Below are 20,032 nucleotides of genomic sequence, written 5' to 3'. Positions count from 1 at the left end.
TTTTTTTTTTTTTTTTTTTGAGACGGAGTCTCGCTCTGTCGCCCAGGCTGGAGTGCAGTGGCGCGATCTCGGCTCACTGCAAGCTCTGCCTCCCGGGTTCACGCCATTTTCCTGCCTCAGCCTCCCGAGTAGCTGGGACTACAGGCGCCCGCTACCACGCCCGGCTAATTTTTTGTATTTTTAGTAGAGACGGGGTTTCACCGTGTTAGCCAGGATCTCCTAACCTCGTGATCCGCCCGCCTCGGCCTCCCAAAGTGCTGGGATTACAGGCATGAGCCACTGCGCCCGGCCAAACATCTTTTTTTTTTGAGACTGAGTCTTGCTCTGTTGCCCAGGCTGGAGTGCAGCAGCATGATCTCGGCTCACTGCAACCTCCGCCTCCCAGGTTCAAGCGATTCTCCTGCCTCAGCCTCCCTAGTAGCCGGGATTACAGTTGCACGCCACCACACCTGGCTATTTTTTTTTGTATTTAGTAGAGATGGGGTTTTGCCATGTTGGCCAGGCTGGTCTCGAACCCCTGCCCTCAGATGATCCACCCGCCTTGGCCTCCTCCCAAAGTGCTAGGATTACAGGAGTAGCCACCATGCCCGGCCTGACCATAAACATCTTTGTAAAATTGAGGTGAAATATAAGCATCTTCAAATAAGCAAATACTGTTAGAATTTATCACCAGCAGACCTGCACCACAAGAAATTCTAAGGAAGTTTTTCAGGCTTAAGGGAAAATTCAGGCCAGATGAAAAATCACACATATAGGATGAAATGAAGACTGTTAGAAATGGTAAATATGTAAGTTAACATAAAAATTATTTTTTTCTTAAATTATTTAAAATTCATTTAATAATTTTAAAGCAAAATTAATGACAGCTTATTGTGGGATTTATAATATATGTAGAAGGAAGCTATATGATAGTAAAGAAGAGGAGAGGGAGTATGAATGTAACTAAGATAAGATTCTTACCTTATATGTGAAGTGGAATAATATCAATTTTAAGAAAGAGTGTGGGCCGGGCACGGTGGCTCATGACTGTAATCCCAGAACTTTGGGAGGCCGAGGCAGGAGGATGACCTGAGGTCAGGAGTTCAAGACCAGCCTGGCCAACATTGTGAAACCCTATCTCTACAAAAATACAAAAATTAGCCAGGCCTGATGGCAGGTGCCTGTAACCCCAGCTGCTTGAGAGGTTGAGGTGGGAGAATCACTTGAACCCAGGAGGCAGAGGTTTCAGTGAGCCGAGATCATGCCATTGCACTCCAGCCTGGTGACAGAGCGAGACTCCATCTCAAAACCAAAAAAAAAAAAAAACAAAAACCAAAGAGTGTGATAAGTTGTGGATGTAATTCTTAGAGCCATCATTTAAAAAATATACAGTGGCAGCAGTTCAGGTTAGGAGGCTGAGTTTGTTTACATTGCTTACAGATTTAGCTGCTGCTTTACCCAGCTCCAGCTCCAAGATGGGGAAATCCTTCACCAACTTCATGTGCAAGAAGGATTTTCATCTTGCCTCCAAATCCAATATCAAAAAAGTATGGATGGCAGAACAGAAAATATCATATGATAAGAAGAAACAAGAATAATTAATGCAGCAATATCATAAATAACAAGAACCATATGATAACAGATTGTTTATGGGAGATGAACGTGTAAATAATGGCCTTAATTTCATGTATGAAGCCCCACCAGGAGCTAAAAGAGAAAACAAAGAGAAAGAAGAAACAGAAAGAGAGACTGAATACAAATGTGAATGGCAGAAAGGAGCCCCATGAGAAAAATATGTCAAAGATGACATGAACATCAGAGAGCAGCCCTGTGGTATTGAGGTTTGAAATGTGTGGTGCATTAAATGTCACCAGTGGGGTCATGTCAACACAGATCAAGAACGTCCTTTGCTTGGTCTTTCTGGAATCAATGCAAGTTTGGTTCCCACTGATGGCTCAGGACCATCGATGCACCCCTTGGAGCTAATAGCGAAGATGAGAAACAGTGGGTTTGCACTGAACCGAAATGTACTGGGGAGAACCTGACCACAAATGATCCATCAAAGGAGTATGTTGCAAGTGAGGGTGAAGAATATCCAGAAGTTGAATGTTTAAAGTCACTAGCAGCTAAACAAAAACAGAAATTTTCAGGAAATTAGATCGACTGGAGAAGAAAAAGAAAAGAAAAGAAAAAGATAGAAAAAAGAAAAAGTTTCAGAAGAGCAGAAGTAAACACAAAAATCATAAATCCTCTTCCTCCTCCTCCTCCCCCTCCTCCTCTTTCTCTACTGAGACTTTAGAAAGCAGTAGTGAGAGTGAGAGTGACAATAAAGAAAAAAAATAGGAAGAAAAGAAAGAAAAGCAAGTGTTCAGGGCATAACAACAGTGATTCTGAAGTGAAGGACCATTCTAAGAAGAGAAAACTTCATGAAGAACTTTCTAGCAGTCACCATAACCAGGAAAAAGCCAAGGAAAAGCTCAGGTTCTTAAAACATGAAAGTTCTAGGGAGGATAGCAAATGGAGCCATTCCGATTCTGACAAAATGTCCAGAAGCCATAATTACAGCCCAGAGAAGAGAGGCTCTGAAAGAAATGACGGGAGTTCAAGTCCAGCCTGGCCAACGTGGAAGGCAAAACAGCCTGTAATACAGCACTTTGGGAGGCCGAGGCGGGCAGATCACGAGGTCAGGAGATCGAGACCATCCTGGCTAACACAGTGAAACGCTTTCTCTACTAAAAATACAAAAAATTAGCTGGGTGTGGTGGCGGGCGCCCGTAGTCCCAGCTACTCGGGAGGCTGAGGCAGGAGAATGGCATGAACCCGGGAGGCAGAGCTTGCAGTGAGCCGAGATTGGGCCACTGCACTCCAGCCTGGGGGACAGAGCGAGACTCCATCTCAAAAAAAAAAAAAAAAAAACCCAAAAAACCTAATTTTAATTACTCATCTCTGTAAACTGTCGATTCAAGTACAAAACTACATGAGTACCATAAGAATGAATTTTGCAAATATTTGTAAGTAAGCTATTTTGGGGCTGTAGAAATATTTTCTGTTGGTAACTGTTTCTTGTGCCCTATACCAGATAAAAACCACATATAACTCTGTGACATTTTCTTTGTTCTGAAACATCATTAAAAGAATGACAGTAAAAATATATGTATACATATATATATATATATATATATATATATATATATATATACATACAGTGCCGTATAGCTGAAAAGTCAATAGAGTAAACTAGATGGGGTTCTTAAAAAGTACTTAATTAGACCAAGAAAGCAGGAAAAAGAGAACGAAGAACAGAGGGAACAAATGGAAACTGACAACATACTAGACTTAAGACTTAACCCCAAACATTTTTTTTGAGAGGGAGTCTCACTCTATTGCCCAGGCTGGAGTGTAGTGGTGCAATATCAGCTCACTGCAAACTCTGTCTCCTGGGTTCAAGCGATTTTTCTGTCTCAGCCTCCTGAGCAGCTGAGATTACAGGTGAGTGCCACCATACCTGGGTAATTTTTGTATTTTTAGTAGAGACAGGGTTATGCCACGTTGGCCAGGCTGGTCTTGAACTCCTGACCTCAAGTGATCCGCCCACTTCGGCCTTCCAAAGTGCTAGGAACGAGCATGAGCCACCATGCCTGGCCAACCCCAAACTTATTAACAGTTACATTAAATGTACAGTAAGAGGCAGAGATTTTCAAAGTGAATAAAAAGAGGCAAGACTCAACTATATGCTGTTTATAAGACAGTCACTTTAAATATAAATATAGAGACAGGTTGAACATAAAAGGATGAAACACAATATGTCACACAAACTATGCATAAGGAAACTAGTATGACTATATTAATATCAGACAAATTAGATTTCAAGACAAAAAGTATTACCAAAAACAGTCATTTTATAGATAGAAAGTTAAAATCATGATGATGATATAATAATTCTCAATGTGTACACAACCAGTAGCAAACCTTTAAAATGCAAAAAACAAAAAGGGACAGAATCAAAGTGAGAAATAAGAGAAATCCACAAATATGTAGGTGATGTTAATATTTCTTTTTTTTGTAATTGATAGAATAAGCAGACAAATCAATCAGTAAGGAAATAGAATATTTGAATACATGATCAAGCAAATTGATATTTATAGAATACTATACCCAATAACTGCTGAATATACATTTTTTGAAGAGCATATTAAATGTTCACTAAGATAGACTATTTGCTGAGCCATGAAGCGAATCTCAATACATGTCAAAGTACTGACTGAAATCCCACAAAATATGTCCTCTGATCACAACAGAATTAAATTTCTTAAAAGCAATTAAATATATGGAAAATTTCCAAAAATCAAAAACTAAGCAACATACTTCTAAATAACTTATGCTCAAGAAAGAAGTCAAAAGGGAAATTAGAAAACAGTGTGAACTAAACGATAAGGAAAAACAACATATTGAAATTTATGGGATGCAGTTAAAGTTCTTAGAGGGATATTTATAGCTTAATGCTTATTTACTTCTAGCTTTAAATGCTTGCGTTAGAAAAGAAGAAAGATTGAAAATCAATTATCTAAGCTTCCAACTTAAGAAATTAGGAAAAGAAGAGCAAATTAGATGTAAAGTTTGTAGATGATAGAAAATAAAGAGCAGAAATCGGTGAAATAGAAAATGTATAAACATGCTTGTATCAAAATATCTCATATACACCATAAATATATACACCATGTATCCACAAAAATTAAAAAAGAAAATGCATGGACACTAGGAGAAAATCAAAAGAACCAAAAATTATTTTTAAAAGATTAGTAAAATTGAGTACTTAACTAAACTGATAGAGAAAAAAAACACCACAAATTACCAACATCAGGGATGACAGACGAGGTATCCCTAGAGATCCTACAGATATTAAAAATAATTAAAAAGGGACAAACCACTTTATGCCACTAATTCAACTACTTAAATAAAATAGACAAACTCATGTTATCAAACCAGTATAAGAAGAAATAGAAAATTTTAATAACCTTATGTATACTAGAGAGATTAAAATTTTAATTATAAACCTTTCCATGAGGAAAATTCTAGGCACAGATGGCATTACTGGTGAATTACATCAAATATTTAAATAAGAAATAAGGCCAGGTGCAGTGGCTCATGCCTATAATCCCAGCACTTCAGGAGGCTGAGGTGAGAGGACCACTTGAGGCCAGGAGTTCGAGACAAGCCTGGGCAACATGGTGAAACTCCGTCTCTATTAAAAATACATAAAAATTAGCCAGGCATAGTGGCATGTGTCTGTAGTCCTAGCTACTCAGCTGGCTGAAGCAGGAGGATCACTTGAGCCTGGGAGGTCAAGGCTGCAGTGAGCTGAGATCATGCCACTGCACTCCAGCCTAGATGACAGAGTGGGACTGTGTCTCAAAATAAATAAATAAGAAATAATATTATTCGGCCGGGCGCGGTGGCTCACGCCTGTAATCCCAGCACTTTGGGAGGCCGAGGCGGGTGGATCATGAGGTCAGGAGATCGAGACCATCCTGGCTAACAAGGTGAAACCCCGTCTCTACTAAAAATACAAAAAATTAGCCGGGCGCGGTGGCGGGCGCCTGTAGTCCCAGCTACTGGGGAGGCTGAGGCAGGAGAATGGCGTGAACCCGGGAAGCGGAGCTTGCAGTGAGCCGAGATTGCGCCACTGCAGTCCGCAGTCCGGCCTGGGCGACAGAGCGAGACTCCGTCTCAAAAAAAAAAAAAAAAAAAAAAAAAAAGAAATAATATTATTCATATATACATCCTTTCAGGGAGTGAAGGACAGTAGAACACTTTCAAAGTTGTTTTGTGATCCAGCATAATCCTGATACCAAAAATGACAAGAATATAACAAGGTAAGGAAAAAGACAATAGATTAAGATTTCTTGTGAGATACAAAAATCCTTAATCAAAAACTGACAAGCCAAAATAAGCATTGTATTAAAAAGACAATGTATCATATTTTTGCAATTACAAATTTTGCTGCTATGAACGTGTGTGTCCAAGTGTCTTTTTCATATAATGACTTATTTTCCTCTGGGTAGATACCCAGGAGTGGGATTGGATTGCTGAATCAAATGGTAGATCTAATTTTTGTTCTTTAAGGAATCTCCACACTGTTTTCCATAGTGGTTGTACTAGTTTACATTCTTACCAGCAGTGTAAAAGTGTTCCCTTTTTACCACATCTACACCAACATCTATTATTTTTTATTTTTAAATTATGGCCATTCTTGCAGGAGTAAGGTGGTAGCCATTGTGGTTTTGAGTTGCATTTCCCTGATAATCAGCGATGTTGAGCATTTTTTCATGTGTTTCTTGGCCATTTGTATATCTTTTTTTGAGAACTGTCTATTCATGTCCTTAACCTACTTTTTGATGGGATTGTTTGTTTTTTTCTTACTGATTTGTTTGAGTTCCTTGTAGATTCTGGATATTAGTCCTTTGTTGGTTGCGTAGTTGGCAAAGGTTTTCTCCCAGTCTGTGGGTTGTCTGTTTACCCTGCTGATTATTTCTTTTGTTGTGCAGAAACTTTTTAGTTTAATTAGGTCCTATCTATTTATCTTTGTTTTCATTGCATTTGCTTTTGGGCTCTTGGTCATGAAGTCTTTGTCTAAGCAGATGTCTAGAAGGGTTTTCCAATGTTATCTTCTAAAATTTTTATGGTGTCAGGTCTTAGATTTAAGTCTTTGACCTATGTTGAGTGATTTTTGTATAAGGCGAGAGATGAGGATCTAGTTTCATTCTTCTACATGTGGCTTGCCAGTTATCCCAGAACCATTTGTTGACTAGGGTGTCTTTTCCCCACTTTATGTTTTTGTTTTTGCCCATTATATTAGTTTGTTTTTATGCTGCTGATAAAGACATACCTGAGACTGAGTAATTTATATATTAAAAAAAGAGCTTTAATGTAATCACAGTTCCATGTGGCTGAGGAGGCCTCACAATCATGGTAGAAGGTGAAGGGCACATCTTACATGGCGGCAGGTAAGAAAGAGAATGAGAGGCAAGTGAAAAGGAAAACCCCTTATAAAACCATCAGATCTTGTGAGACTTATTCACTAACCCAAGAACAGTATGGGGGAAACCACCCTCATGATTAAATTATCTCCCGCCAGGTCCCTCCCACAACACGTGGGAATTATGTCAGCTACCATTCAAGATGAGATTTGAGTGGGTACACAGCCAAACCATATCACCCATCAGTCAACAAGTGGATAAAGAAAATGTGATATATATATCACATTTATATATATATACATATATATATATGCTGGAATATATATATGCTGGAATATATATATATGCTGGAATATTATATATATACACACTGGAATATATATATATATACACACTGAATTATATATATATATACACACTGAAATATATATATATATATATACACACTGAAATATATATATATATATATACACACTGAAATATATATATATATATATATATATATATATATATATATATATATATGCTGGAATATATATATGCTGGAATAATACTCAGCTATAAAAAGGAATGAAATAATGGCATTTGCAGCAACCCGGATGGAATTGGAGACCATTATTCTAAGTGAAGTAACTCAGGAATGGAAAACCAAACATTGTTATGTTCTCACTTACAAGTGCAAGCTAAGCTATGAGGACACAAAGGCATAAGAATGATACAGTGGACTTTGGGGACTCAAGGGGAATGGTAGGATGGGGGTGGAGGATAAAAGACTGCACATTGGGTACAGTGTACACTGCTTGGGTGATGGGTGCACCAAAATCTCAGAAATCACCACTAAAGAGCTTATCCATGTAACCAAATACCACCTGTTCCACAAAAACCTATTGAAATAAAAAACAAAATAAGATAAAAATTCTTGGTCCCTCCACCCCACTAAAAAAAGATAATACATCGTAACAGAATGGGATGCATCTCAGGGTTACAAGTTTGGTTCAACATCTAAAAGGTAATAAATATAACTCATCACATTAATAGAATAAAGAAGGAAAATCATAGGATCATCTCAATAAAGGAAATGTCTTTGACAAAATTCAACATGTCATCATGATTCTTAAAAACTAGTAACAATTTTCAATGGAAGGGAACATCTTCAATCTGATACAGGCATCTATAAAAAGCTTACGTCTAACATAATAATAAATATCAAAAAGCTGAATGCTGGCCAGGCATAATGACTCATGCCTATAATGCCAACTCTTTGGAAGGCCAAGGCAAGAGGATCACTTGAGGCCAGGAATTCAATACCAGCCTGGGCAACATGGCAAAACCCTGACTCCACAAAAGAAAAATTTAAAAATCAGCTGGGTGTGGTGGTGCATGCCTGTAGTCCCAGCTACTTGGATGGCTGAGGTGGGAGGATCACTTGAACCCATAAGTTTGAGGCTGCTGCAGTAAGGTCTGATTGTGCCACTACACCCCAGCTTGGATGACAGAGTGAGGTCTTGTCTCAAAACAAAAACCAAACAAAAACAAAAAAACCCTAAATGCTTTCTCCCCAAAATTAAGAACAAAGCCAAGATGTTCCCTTTCACTTGTGGTCAGTGTAATAGTGGTAATTCTAGCCATTGCAATAAGACAAGAAAAATAAATAAAAGGCATAAAAGGCCAGACTCAGCAGCTCACACCTATAATCTCAGCACTTTGGGAGACTGAGGTGGGAGGTTTGCTTGAGCCCAGGAGTTCCAGACCAGACTGGGAAACATGGCGAGACCCTGTCTCTACAAGAAATTTTAAAAATTAGCCAGGCATAGTTGTGCATGCCTGTGGTTCCAGCTACTTGGGAGGATAAGGTGAGGTGATGACTTGAGTCCAGGAGTTCGAGGCTGCAGTGAGCTGTGTTTGTACCACTGCACTCCAGATTGGGTGACAGAGAGAGACTCTGTCAAAAAAAAAAAAGGCATAAAGCTTAGAAAAGAAGTAAAATTATCTTTATTCATTAATAATATGCTTATATGTGGAAAAATCTTACAAAATCTACAAAAGAAATTGTCAAACTCAAGACATAGGGTCAACATTTAAAAAAAATCAATTTTATACAGTAGCACAAGTAATTTAAAAATTAAATATAAAATAATATCATTAACAATAGCTCTGAGATCCACAAAGTTCTTAAGAATACATTTATCAAAAGATGTGTAAGACCTCTACACCAAAACTACAAAATATTGATTAAAGAAATTAAAATAGATCTAAACAAATGGAGAGCTATACCTTGTTCATGGATTGGAAGACTCCATATTATTGAAATGTTAATTATCTCCAAATTTATGTAAAGATTTAGCACACTCTTAATAAAAATTACAGCAGATTTTTTTTTTTTTTGAGACAGAGTTTTGCTCTTGTTGCCCAGGCTGGAGTGCAGTGGCACAATCTCGGCTCACTGCAACCTCCCCTTCCTTAGTTCAAGTGATTCTCCTGCCTCAGCCTCCTGAGTATCTGGGATTACAGGTGTGTGCCACCATACCCAGCTGATTTTTTTTTTTTTTTGTATTTTTAATAGAGACAGGGTTTCATCATGTTGGCCAGGCTGGTCTTGAACTCCTGACCTCAGGTGATCCACCCACCTCGGCCTCCCAAAGTGCAGGGATTACAGGCATGAGCCATCACACCCGGCCTACAGCAGAATATTTTAAAGCACATATAGATTCTAAAATTTATATAGAAATGTAAAAAACCTAGAATATTCAAATCAATCTTGGAAAAGGAGAACAAAATTGAAGGACTTATCCAACCTGATTTCAAGACTTACTCTAAAGCCACAATAATCCAGAGAATATGGTAGTGTCAAGAATAGTCCCCCATAAAAGGCATATGTATATATATACACAAACACACACATTATATATAGAGAGAAACTATATATATATAGACTCTATATACAATTTATATGTAGTCAATTATATGTAATTGACTATATATTATATACATATATATGTACATATATCGTCAATTGAATTTCAACAAAAGATACCAAAGTAATCAAAGGGGGAAAGAAAAGGCTTTTCAACAAAGTGTCTGTAACAACTAGATATTGATATGCAAAAAAAATTCATCTCAACCCCTACCTTACACTGTACTGAAAAATTAATTTCAGATGGATCAAAGATCTAAATGCAAAAGCAAAAACTGTAAAGTCTCTAGAAATAAGCACAAGAGAGTATTTTCACAATCTTGGGGTGAACATGTTTCTTGGAAAGGTCTCAATAGGCAAAACCTATAAAAGATTAATCCTGATAAATTTTCAAGAGAATGAGAAGACAAACCACAAACTTGGAGAAAATATTTGCAAAAGACATATCTGATAAAGAACTATTATACAAAATTTAGAAAAAAACTCTTAAAACTCAGCAATAAGAAAATGAACAACTCAATTAAAAAATGGGCAAAAGACCTGAACAGACACCTCTCCAAAGAAGATGGCAGATAAGCATATGAAAAGATGCTCAACATCATGTCATTAGAAAATTGAAAATTAAGACAACAATGAGACAGCACCACCCACTTTTTAAAATGGCCCAAATCCAAAATATAATACCAACAACGCTTAATGCTGGCAAGGCTATAGAGCAGCAAGAACTCTCATTCATTGCTGGTGGAAATGATAAATGGTATAGGCACTTTGGAAGATGGTTTGGCAGTTTTTTTACAAAATTAAACATACTCTTCTCATACTATCCAGCAATTGTGCTCCTTGGTATTTACCCAAATGAGTTGAAAACTTTTGTCCACATAAAAACCTGCACACAGATATTTGTAACAATAGTTCTGGCTGGACATGGTGGCTCACACCTGTAATTCCAGCACTTTGGGAGGCCGAGGCAGGCAGATCACTTGAGGTCAGGAGTTTGAAACCAGCCTGACCCACATGGTGAAACTCCGTCTCTACTAAAAATGCAAAACTTAGCTGAGTGTGGTGGTGCACGCCTGTAATCCCAGCTACTTGGGAGGCTGAGGCACAAGAATCGGTTGAACCCAGGAGGCAGAGGTTGCAGTGAGCCAGGATCACGCCACTGCACTCCAGCCTGGTTGACAGAGCAAGACTCCACCAAAACAAAACAAAACAAAACAAAACAAAACAAAAAACACAGCACAATAGCTCTAAGATCGAAAAAGTGCAGCTTTATTCACCATTGCCAAAACTTGGAAGCAACCAAGGTGTCCTTCAGTAGGTAAATGGGCAAATAAACTGTGGTACATTCTGACAATGGGATATCATTCAGTGCTGAAAGAAATAAGCTATCAAGCCCTAAAAAAGACATAAAGAAGCCTTAAGTGCACATTTCTATGTAAAATAAGTTAACCTTAAAAAGTTACATAACTGTATGATTCCAACTGTATGACATTCTGAAAAAGACAAAACTATGAAGACAGTAAAAAGATCAGTAGTTGCTAGGGGCTGGGGGAAGGAAGGATAAATAGGCAGAGCCAGGTTATTTTCAGGGCAGTGAAACTACTCTGTATGATACTATAATGGTGAATACATGTTACTTTTCATTTGTCAAAACCCATAGAATATACAACACCAAGAGTGAGCCCTAATGCAAACTGTGGACTTTCGGAGATAATGGTGTGTCAGTGTAGGTTCCTCGATTGTCATGGAAGTTACACTGTGGTGTAGGATGCTGGTAGTGGGGGAGGCTGTGCTTTTATGTGGGCAGGAGGTAAATGAGAACTCTCTGCACTTTCTGTTTGATTTTGCTGTGAACCTAAAATTCCTCTAAACAAAGCCTGTTTTAAAAATTGATAAATTTGACTTTATCAAAGATACAAACTTCTGCTCATCAAAAAAGATTATTTAAGGCTAGGCATGGTGGCTCACGTCTGTAATCCAGCACTTTGGGAGGCCGAGGTGGGTGGATCGCTTGTGGTCAGGAGTTTGAGACCAGACTGGCCTACCTGGTGAAACCCGGTTTCTACTAAAAATACAAAAATTAGCTGAGTATGGTGGTGCACGCCTGTAATCCCAGCTACTCAGGAGGCTGAGGTGGGAGGATCATTTGAACTCAGGAGGTGGAGGTTGCAGTGAGCCAAGATCATGCCACTGCATTCCAGCCTGGATGACAAGAGCGAAAACTTGTCTCAAAAAAAAAAAAAAAAAAAAAAGAGAGAGAGATTAATGCCAGGTGCGGTGGCTCATGCCTGTAATCCCAACACTTTGGGGGTCTGAGGTGGGCGGATCACCTGAGGTCGGGAGTTCATGACTAACATGGAGAAATCATGTCTCTACTAAAAATACAAAAATTAGCTGGGTGTGGTGGTGGATGCCTGTAATTCCAGCTACTCGTGAGGCTGAGGCAGGAGAATTGCTTGAACCTGGGAGGCGGAGGTTGCCATCAGCCGAGATTGTGCCATTGCACTCCAGCCTGGGCAACAAGAATGAAACTCCACCTCAGAAAAAGAAAAAAAGAGAGATCACTTAAAAATGAAAAGATGAGCCACAAAATAGGAGAAAGTATTTGTGTAAAACACATATTTGACAAAGGACTTGCATCCAGAATATATAAAAACTCCTACAACTCAACAATAAAAGACAGTCAAATTTAAAACAAAAGGGTAAAAATTTGAAGAGATACTCTGCAAAAGAGATCTAGAAATGCCCAATAAGTGCATGAAAAGATGTTTAACATCAGTAGACATACGGGAAAATCAAAATTAAAGCCAATATGAGATACTCATCACATACCTGAATGACTAAAATTTAAAACATGGAAAATATCAAGTGTTGGTGAGGAAGTGGAGCACTTGAAAATCTCTTGTACTTCTGTTTTGAGTGTGAAAAGGTAAAAACACTTTGGAAAACACTTTGACAGTTTCTTTTGAAGGTAAAATGCCTAACAGCTGGGAGTGGTGGCTCATGCCTATAATACCAGCATTTTGGGAGGCCAAGGTGGGAAGATCACTTGAGGCCAGGAGTTCAAGATCAGCCTAGGCAACATAGCAAGACCCTGTCTCTACAAAACAAACAAACAAACAAAATTAGCTGGGCATGGCGGTATGCACCTGTAGTCCCAGCTACTTGGGAGGCTGAGGCAGCAGGATTGTTTGAGCCCAGAAGGTTGAGGCTGCATTGAGCCATGATTATGCCACTTTACTCCAGCCTGGGCAACAGAGGGAGACCCCATTCTCAAAAACAAAACAAAACAGCCAGGCATGGTGGCTCACACCTGTAATCCCAGCATTTTGGGAGGCTGAGGTGGGTGGATCATGAGGTCAGGAGTGTGAGACCAGCCTGGCCAATATGGTGAAACCCTGTCTCCGCTAAAAAAATAAAAAATAAAAAAAAAAAAAACAAAAAACAAATAAAATAAGCCTATCTATCTATGATCCAAAAATTTCATTCTTAGGAGTGAAAATGAACACACACACACACTCACACACACCACACACACACACACACACACACATACAGCTTGTATATAAATGTTTATAGCAGCTTTATTCATAAGAGTCAAAGCTGGAAACACTCCTAATGTCTATGGTTGGATAAGTGGATACACAATTTCTTATGATACACTATTCAACAATTAAAAAGAATGAATTACTGATATATGCAATAACACAAATGAATCTGAAAAACACATTGAATGAAAAAAGCCAGCCACAAAAGTATATGTAAGATTCCATTTATATGAAATTCTAGAATATGAAAAACTAACTTATGGTGATGAAAATTAGAGCAGTATTTGCCTTTTGTGGGGGATTAACTGGGAAGTGGCAAGTGGGAACTTTCTGGCGTGGTGAAAATGTTGTATATCTTTACTGTGGTAGTGGTTACATGAGTGTAGATGCTTGTCCAAACTCATCCAACTATATACTTAACACTCTACATATCCTTTTGTATTTAAATTATAACTCATCCTACTATATACTTAACACTCTACATATCCTTTTGTATTTAAATTATAACTCAATACAAACAATATAAAGCTAAAAACACTCAATGTAAGAAAAAACAATATGAATATATCAAAATTGATAATTTCATCAATGAAGAATAATGCAGATATAGTAAACAGATGACAGATGGAAGGAAGACAATTTGCTTTGTCAGAAGCTAACAAGAATAGAAAGGAACTCTTGACAACTAACAAGAAAATGAGCCTGAATAAAAAAATTGCCCAATGGCATGAGTTAGCAGTTTACAGTTCTTAGTCAAATTAGGTATGTGCATGCGTATTATCTGACCATTCATTCTTAGTCATAGATTCTTTTTTTGTTTGTATTTTTAATTTTAAATTTATATTTTTAAAAAATAATCTCAATTTTTATTTTAGATTCAGGGGGTACATGTGCAGATGTGTTACATGGGTATATTCCATGATGCTGAGCTTTGGAGTATGATTGATCTCATCACCCAGGTAGTGAGCATAGTACCCAATAGTTTTTCAACCTTTGTGCTTCTCCCTGTCACCCCACTCTGTGTCTATTGCTACCATCTTTATGTCTGTGAGTACCCAAAGTTTAGCTCCCACTTGTAAGTGAGAACATTCAGTGTTTGATTTTCTGTTCCTGCATTAATTTACTTAGGATTATGGCCTCCAACTACATCCATGTTGCTGCAAAGGACGTGATTCCATTCTTTTTTATGGCTGTGTAGCATTCCATCCTGTATATGTACTACCTCTTCTTTAGCCAATCCACTGGTTAATTCCATGTCTTTGCTATTGTGGGTAGTGCTGTGATGAACATACCCTGAGTGCATGTATCTTTTTGGTAGAATGATTCATTTTCTTTTGGATATATACCCACTAATGGGATTGCTGGGTCAAACGGTAGTTCTAAGTTCTTTGAGAAATCTCCAAACGGCTTTCCACAGTGCATAAGTGTTCCCTTTTCTCCGCAGCCTCACCAGCATCTGTTGTTTTTCTCCAGTCATATATTCTAATGAAATTTTCACACAGGTTCATACAGGACATGTCCAGTTATTTCCAAGGCAGTATTGTTTGTGAGGCTGAGTTGGGGCAATCTGGAGTCCATCAGTTAAGGAGCAGATGGTCAAGTGTGCTGGAGGCACAGCATGTAGTAACAACCACAGTTAGAAGATAGAGACTCGTACACACTGCAACACGCATGGGTGTTTAAAACATCATTCTGAGTGAAACAAAACAAAACAAAACAAAAAAACAATAAAATCTGTAACACACTTTCAGGTCAATAAAAGACCATATGAAAACCAAAACAACATTACATTTTGTTAAGGATATATACCCCCATAATCCACAAAATGGACTAAAATGGATGTCTTGGATGGACAGAGAATGGCAAGGGAAATGAGGGTAAAGGAGAAGGAATCAACAAAATAAGAGCAGGACTGCGCAGACCGGGGTGGACCATGTGTCATAAACTCAGGAGTTAGATCAATTGCACCTGAGCACATGCCCTCTCTCTCCCTTACTCACTCTCTCTCTCTGTCACACACACACACACACACACACACACACACACACACACACACAGAGTTTATTGAGGACATGCTATATTCCAGGTATTGTGTGTCACATAAATTAGCTCATCTAGTTTTCTGATAAAGAGGAACTGTTGTCATCACACCTCCCGCCATTTTAGAGATGGGAAACTGAGGCTTGGAGAGGACAGGTAAAGTTCTGAAGGTCACGCAGCTAGTCACTTGCAGAACCAAGATTCAAACCAGGCAAGTCTGAATCCTGCACTATTCCTGCTCACTACGCCTCCAGAGGAACTCTGTGCAGCCCAAGGCCCAGGGCTGTCGACCAAGTCACATGAAGGCACCCATAAAAAAGGTAACCCAGAGTAAGCAGGTCTGTGCCTTCAGCCCAAATAAACATCCCGCCAGCATTTCCTCAAATTCCGCCATCGCAGAGAGGGAACCAGGTGGGAGCCCATGTGGTTTTGATAGAACATCCATTCAAGCGGAGCTTAAATATTATAGCGGCACTGTTTGCACAGTTAAATTTAAGGATCTGTCAGTTTATGATGAATTTTTATTTTTAAGCGTTTCAAGTAAGCTGTAAACATTCACTCCAGACTGAAATTCCCCTCATTTAACACCTGGGAGGGGCAGGACAGGAAAGCAGCGGATGAAAATGGGAATGAGGGGTGAGCATGGTAGAGGGGTGTTGAGAAGAGCCTGGGCACCAGCCTGGGGAGGGGTGTACAGGGACCTCTTTCAACCAGTATCTCCAAGAAGGGGTATGAAGGGCCGGTGCCCCATAATGAGGGAGGCCAACAGCTTCCCCAAAGGAAGCAGGGCCATTCTCTTTGAAACTCACGTTTAGTTTCCCCTTTCCCCCTTTCCAGCAAAGTGAGACAGTAATGATCATTTAAGAATAACAACCCTGCCGGGGGCGGTGGCTCACGCCTGTAATCCCAGCACTTTGGGAGGCCGAGGCGGGTGGATCACAAGGTCAGGAGTTCGAGACCAGCCTGGCCAATATGGTGAAACCCTGTCTCTACTAAAAATACAAAAATTAGCCTGGTCTGGTGACAGACGCCTGTAGTCCCAGCTACTCAGGAGGCTGAGGCAGGAGAAATCACTTGAACCCAGGAGGTGGAGGTTGTAGTGAGCCGAGATCAGGCCACTGCACTCCAGCCTGGGAAATAGAGCGAGACTCTGTCTCAAAGAAAAAAAAAAAAAAAAGAATAACAAACCCTTGAGAACTGTTTGCAGGTCTATTGCTGGAGGAAGGATGGAAGTCAGGAGACGATATGAGTGGTATGGTTGTAAGTTTTAAAACGTTTACATATATGTGGAAAAGGAGCTGACACTTTATAGAACTTTGCATTTTTTGGTATTTTTATGAGATTTTTGAATAGTAAACACATGGCTTTTGTCATCATAAACAAGTTGCTGCTAAATAAACAAAGAATAAATTAAAATGAATAACATGCTACGAGGGATCGCTAACATATTCTCTGCTCTTATGCTGTGCCAGGTCCCGGGCACCTCTGCTATAGGTGTTATCTCATTTAATCTTCACAACACCCTCTGCCATGGCTACTATTTTTTCATTTCTGTTTTATAAATGAGGAAACTGACATTTAGGAAGTGAAGTAACTTGCCTAGAGCTACACAGTTAGGAAGTTGTATTAGTCTGCTAGGGCTGCCTTATTAAAATATCACAGACTGGGTGGCTTAAACAACAAAAATTAATTTTCTCACAGTTCTGGAAACTGGAAGTCTAAGATCAAGGTGTTGGCAATGCTGGTTTCTCCTGAAGCCTTTCTTTTTGGTTAGTAAAAAGAAATAATAACGAATACCTTCTCGCTGAGCCCTCACATAGCATTTTCTCTGTACATATACATACCTGGTGGCTTTGTGCGAAATTTCCTTTTCTTAAAAGGGCACCAGTCAGATTGGATTAGGATCCGCCCTAATGGCCTCATTTTAATTTAGTTACTTCTTTAAAAGCTCTTCCTCCAAATACAGTCACATTCTGAGATATTGGGAATTGGTGCTTCAATTTATGACTTTTGGGGAGTGGGCAGGACACAATTCAGCCCATACCAGAAGTGGAGTTGCTAAACCATAGGGAAATCTTGTTGAAGACTTTTATTCCGTTCAACCCGAGAAGTAGCATCTCATTCTCTCACGGGGCACTTAAGGGCTCACCTCTGGAAGATGGGGAACTGAACTTGGGTTCTCTGGTCTCCTCCCCAGTGCTTGGTAGCAACAGCATGGCCACCCAGGGCACCCCTCAGCCAGCGTGCCCACCTCCACTCTCCACACTGGCAGAGGACTTGCTGCCTGTGGTTGGAGGACGTGGATGAGGGAGTAGCTGGGAGGATGAACAGGGAATAATGACAACAGCTATTGTTTACTGACTCCTCCCCAAGTGTGCCAGCCACTCTGCCAATGTCACTTCCAATCTTCAGAGCAGTCCTATGAGGTAGGTATTACAGTTGCATCATCTGGGATTTTCTGATTGAAAATGACAGAAAAACCAACCAGGACTAATTTAAGCAAAACAAGGAATATATCAGCTATTGGTGCATAATCAACCACCCCAAAATGCAATGTTTAAAACAGTAAGTATTTATTCTCCAAAAATTAGCCGGGGGCGGTGGCATGAGCCTGTAGTCCTAGCTAGTCAGGAGGCTGAGGCAGGTAAATCGCTTGAATCAGGAGGCGAGGTTGCAGTGAGCCGAGATTGTGCCACTTCACTCCAGCCTGGGTGACAGAGCGAGACTCCATCTCAAAACAAAAAACAAAAACAGTTAAGTATTTATTCTTGGTCATGAATCTACAGCGAGCTGGGTGGTTCTTGTGGTTTCCCTGGGTTCAGCCTCTGTGGTCAGCTCTGCTGTTTTTGGCTGAACTCTCCCGTGCATTTCCAGCTAGCAGACTGTAGGTTGGTCCAGGATGGCCTTGGCTGGGACAACTGGGTCTCCACACCTCTGGCAAGCTAGCTCAGGCTTGTTCACAGGTCCAAGAGAGCCAACATAAGTGTGCAAAGCTCTTTGAAGGGCATGCTCAGAACTGGCCCTCCATCACTTCTGCCACCTTCTATTGGCCAAAGCAAATCACAACAGCAACCCAAATTTAGGGAGGAAGGAAATAAATCCCACCTTTTGATAAGAATTGCTGTAAAGCCATATTGCAAGAAGGCGGGAGAACACAGAGAGGATTGGAGAAAGGAGGCCTTTTTTGTGATTCATCTTCCACAGGGAATTTATTAGTCTGTGTATCTATCTGGAAAGGCAAAAGAATCTGGCTTCTGGTACAGCTTAATGCAGACACTCAAATAATATTGCCATCTCCTGGCATGGCTCTGCTCCGTGGGTTGCTGTGTTCTCAAAAATGCCCATTCCTGAACCAGTCACTGTGGGAGGGAGCAGGTAGTGTGAGGGAAGTGCTCAGTACCTTAGTCCCTGAGCCAAGGATAAGCTTACCCCCAACTCATATAGGATGAGAGCAGGAGAGGAAGGGACCTCGACAGGAAACTAGGGATACCAGGTGGAAGGTGGAAGGCTGCTGGGCAAAGCATGGATGTCTGCTACAATTGTTACTTCTACTTTACAGAGGAGAAAACCATGGCTGGGAGAGTTAAGTGCCTTGAGCGAGGTGATTCAGTGTTGGAAAAGGGCATTAATCCATGTCTGTGTCACCCTCCTTGGAGCCTGCACACTTTCCACAACTCCTGGCTGCCTCTGGATCCAGAGAGAGAAGAACATTCATTACACAGGCTGCTTGCTAACTCCCCTCGCCAACTTTGGGTCATCTCCCTGCTCTGACCTCAGAAGGCAGCATCCAAGATGAGGAAGGGGCTCGAAGCCACGTCACTTGGGGAACTGCTGAGGCACTGGGGCTGGATGGTTTGGAGAAGACTCAGGGGGCTGAGAGCTGCCCCAGCATCTGAGCAGCTTCCTAAGAGCCCACACAGCTGCCAAGGGCAGAACTGGGGCCAAGGAAAACAAATGGACCGTAAGGACCCTCTCAGGGTGGAGGGGGTAAGAGGGGAAGGGTAACTGGGAGAAAGAAGAGGAAGGAGGGAATGAGGAGGGGAGGGACAAGCAGGGGCCCACTGGGTACCCTCGAACTTGCCCAGATGATTTCCAGGGGATCTTGTGCACCAGATCCACAAGGTCAACTGTGTGATGCGGGATTTTCAGACAGTGACTTGGCCAAGTCACAAAACCCAGACAGGAATCGCCTCCCCCTCATCCTCCCTCGCCATTCCAGGAGGCATCTCCTAAGTTCCAACCCAAATGGCCTCTGTTGGAGCCCCAGCGACAAGAAAGGAGAGTGGCAAGACCACAGCCTTTGCCTTGGTCAGAGCAGGGTTCGAGTGTCCTTCTCTGTCACTCCTCAGCTATGTAATAGGGAACAGGGTGCTTTACTTCCCTGAGTCTCTGATTCCTCCTCTGAAAATGGGAAAAACCCCAACCTCCCAGGGCTGTTGTGGGAACCCAGTGAGCTAACATGTGCCAAGTGCCTGCACTGAGTGCGAGCCCAGCACATCCTGAATATGGTGCATATGCAGCCCCTCAGGTTCCTACCCACCTCAGGCCCTGCACAGCGCCCCCCGCTGACTCAG

The 20,032-nt window shown here is 40.6% G+C and overlaps 1 pseudogene; it reads left to right on the top strand.

Moving 5' to 3' along the window:
- Positions 1,377-2,580, top strand: CIR1P1 (CIR1 pseudogene 1; annotated as a pseudogene).

This window comes from Homo sapiens, chromosome 5 (assembly GCF_000001405.40).
Source record: "Homo sapiens chromosome 5, GRCh38.p14 Primary Assembly".
Lineage (NCBI taxonomy): Eukaryota > Metazoa > Chordata > Mammalia > Primates > Hominidae > Homo > Homo sapiens.
The sequence above is the reverse complement of the archived record's forward strand: the minus strand, read 5'-3'. Positions and strand labels throughout refer to the sequence as shown.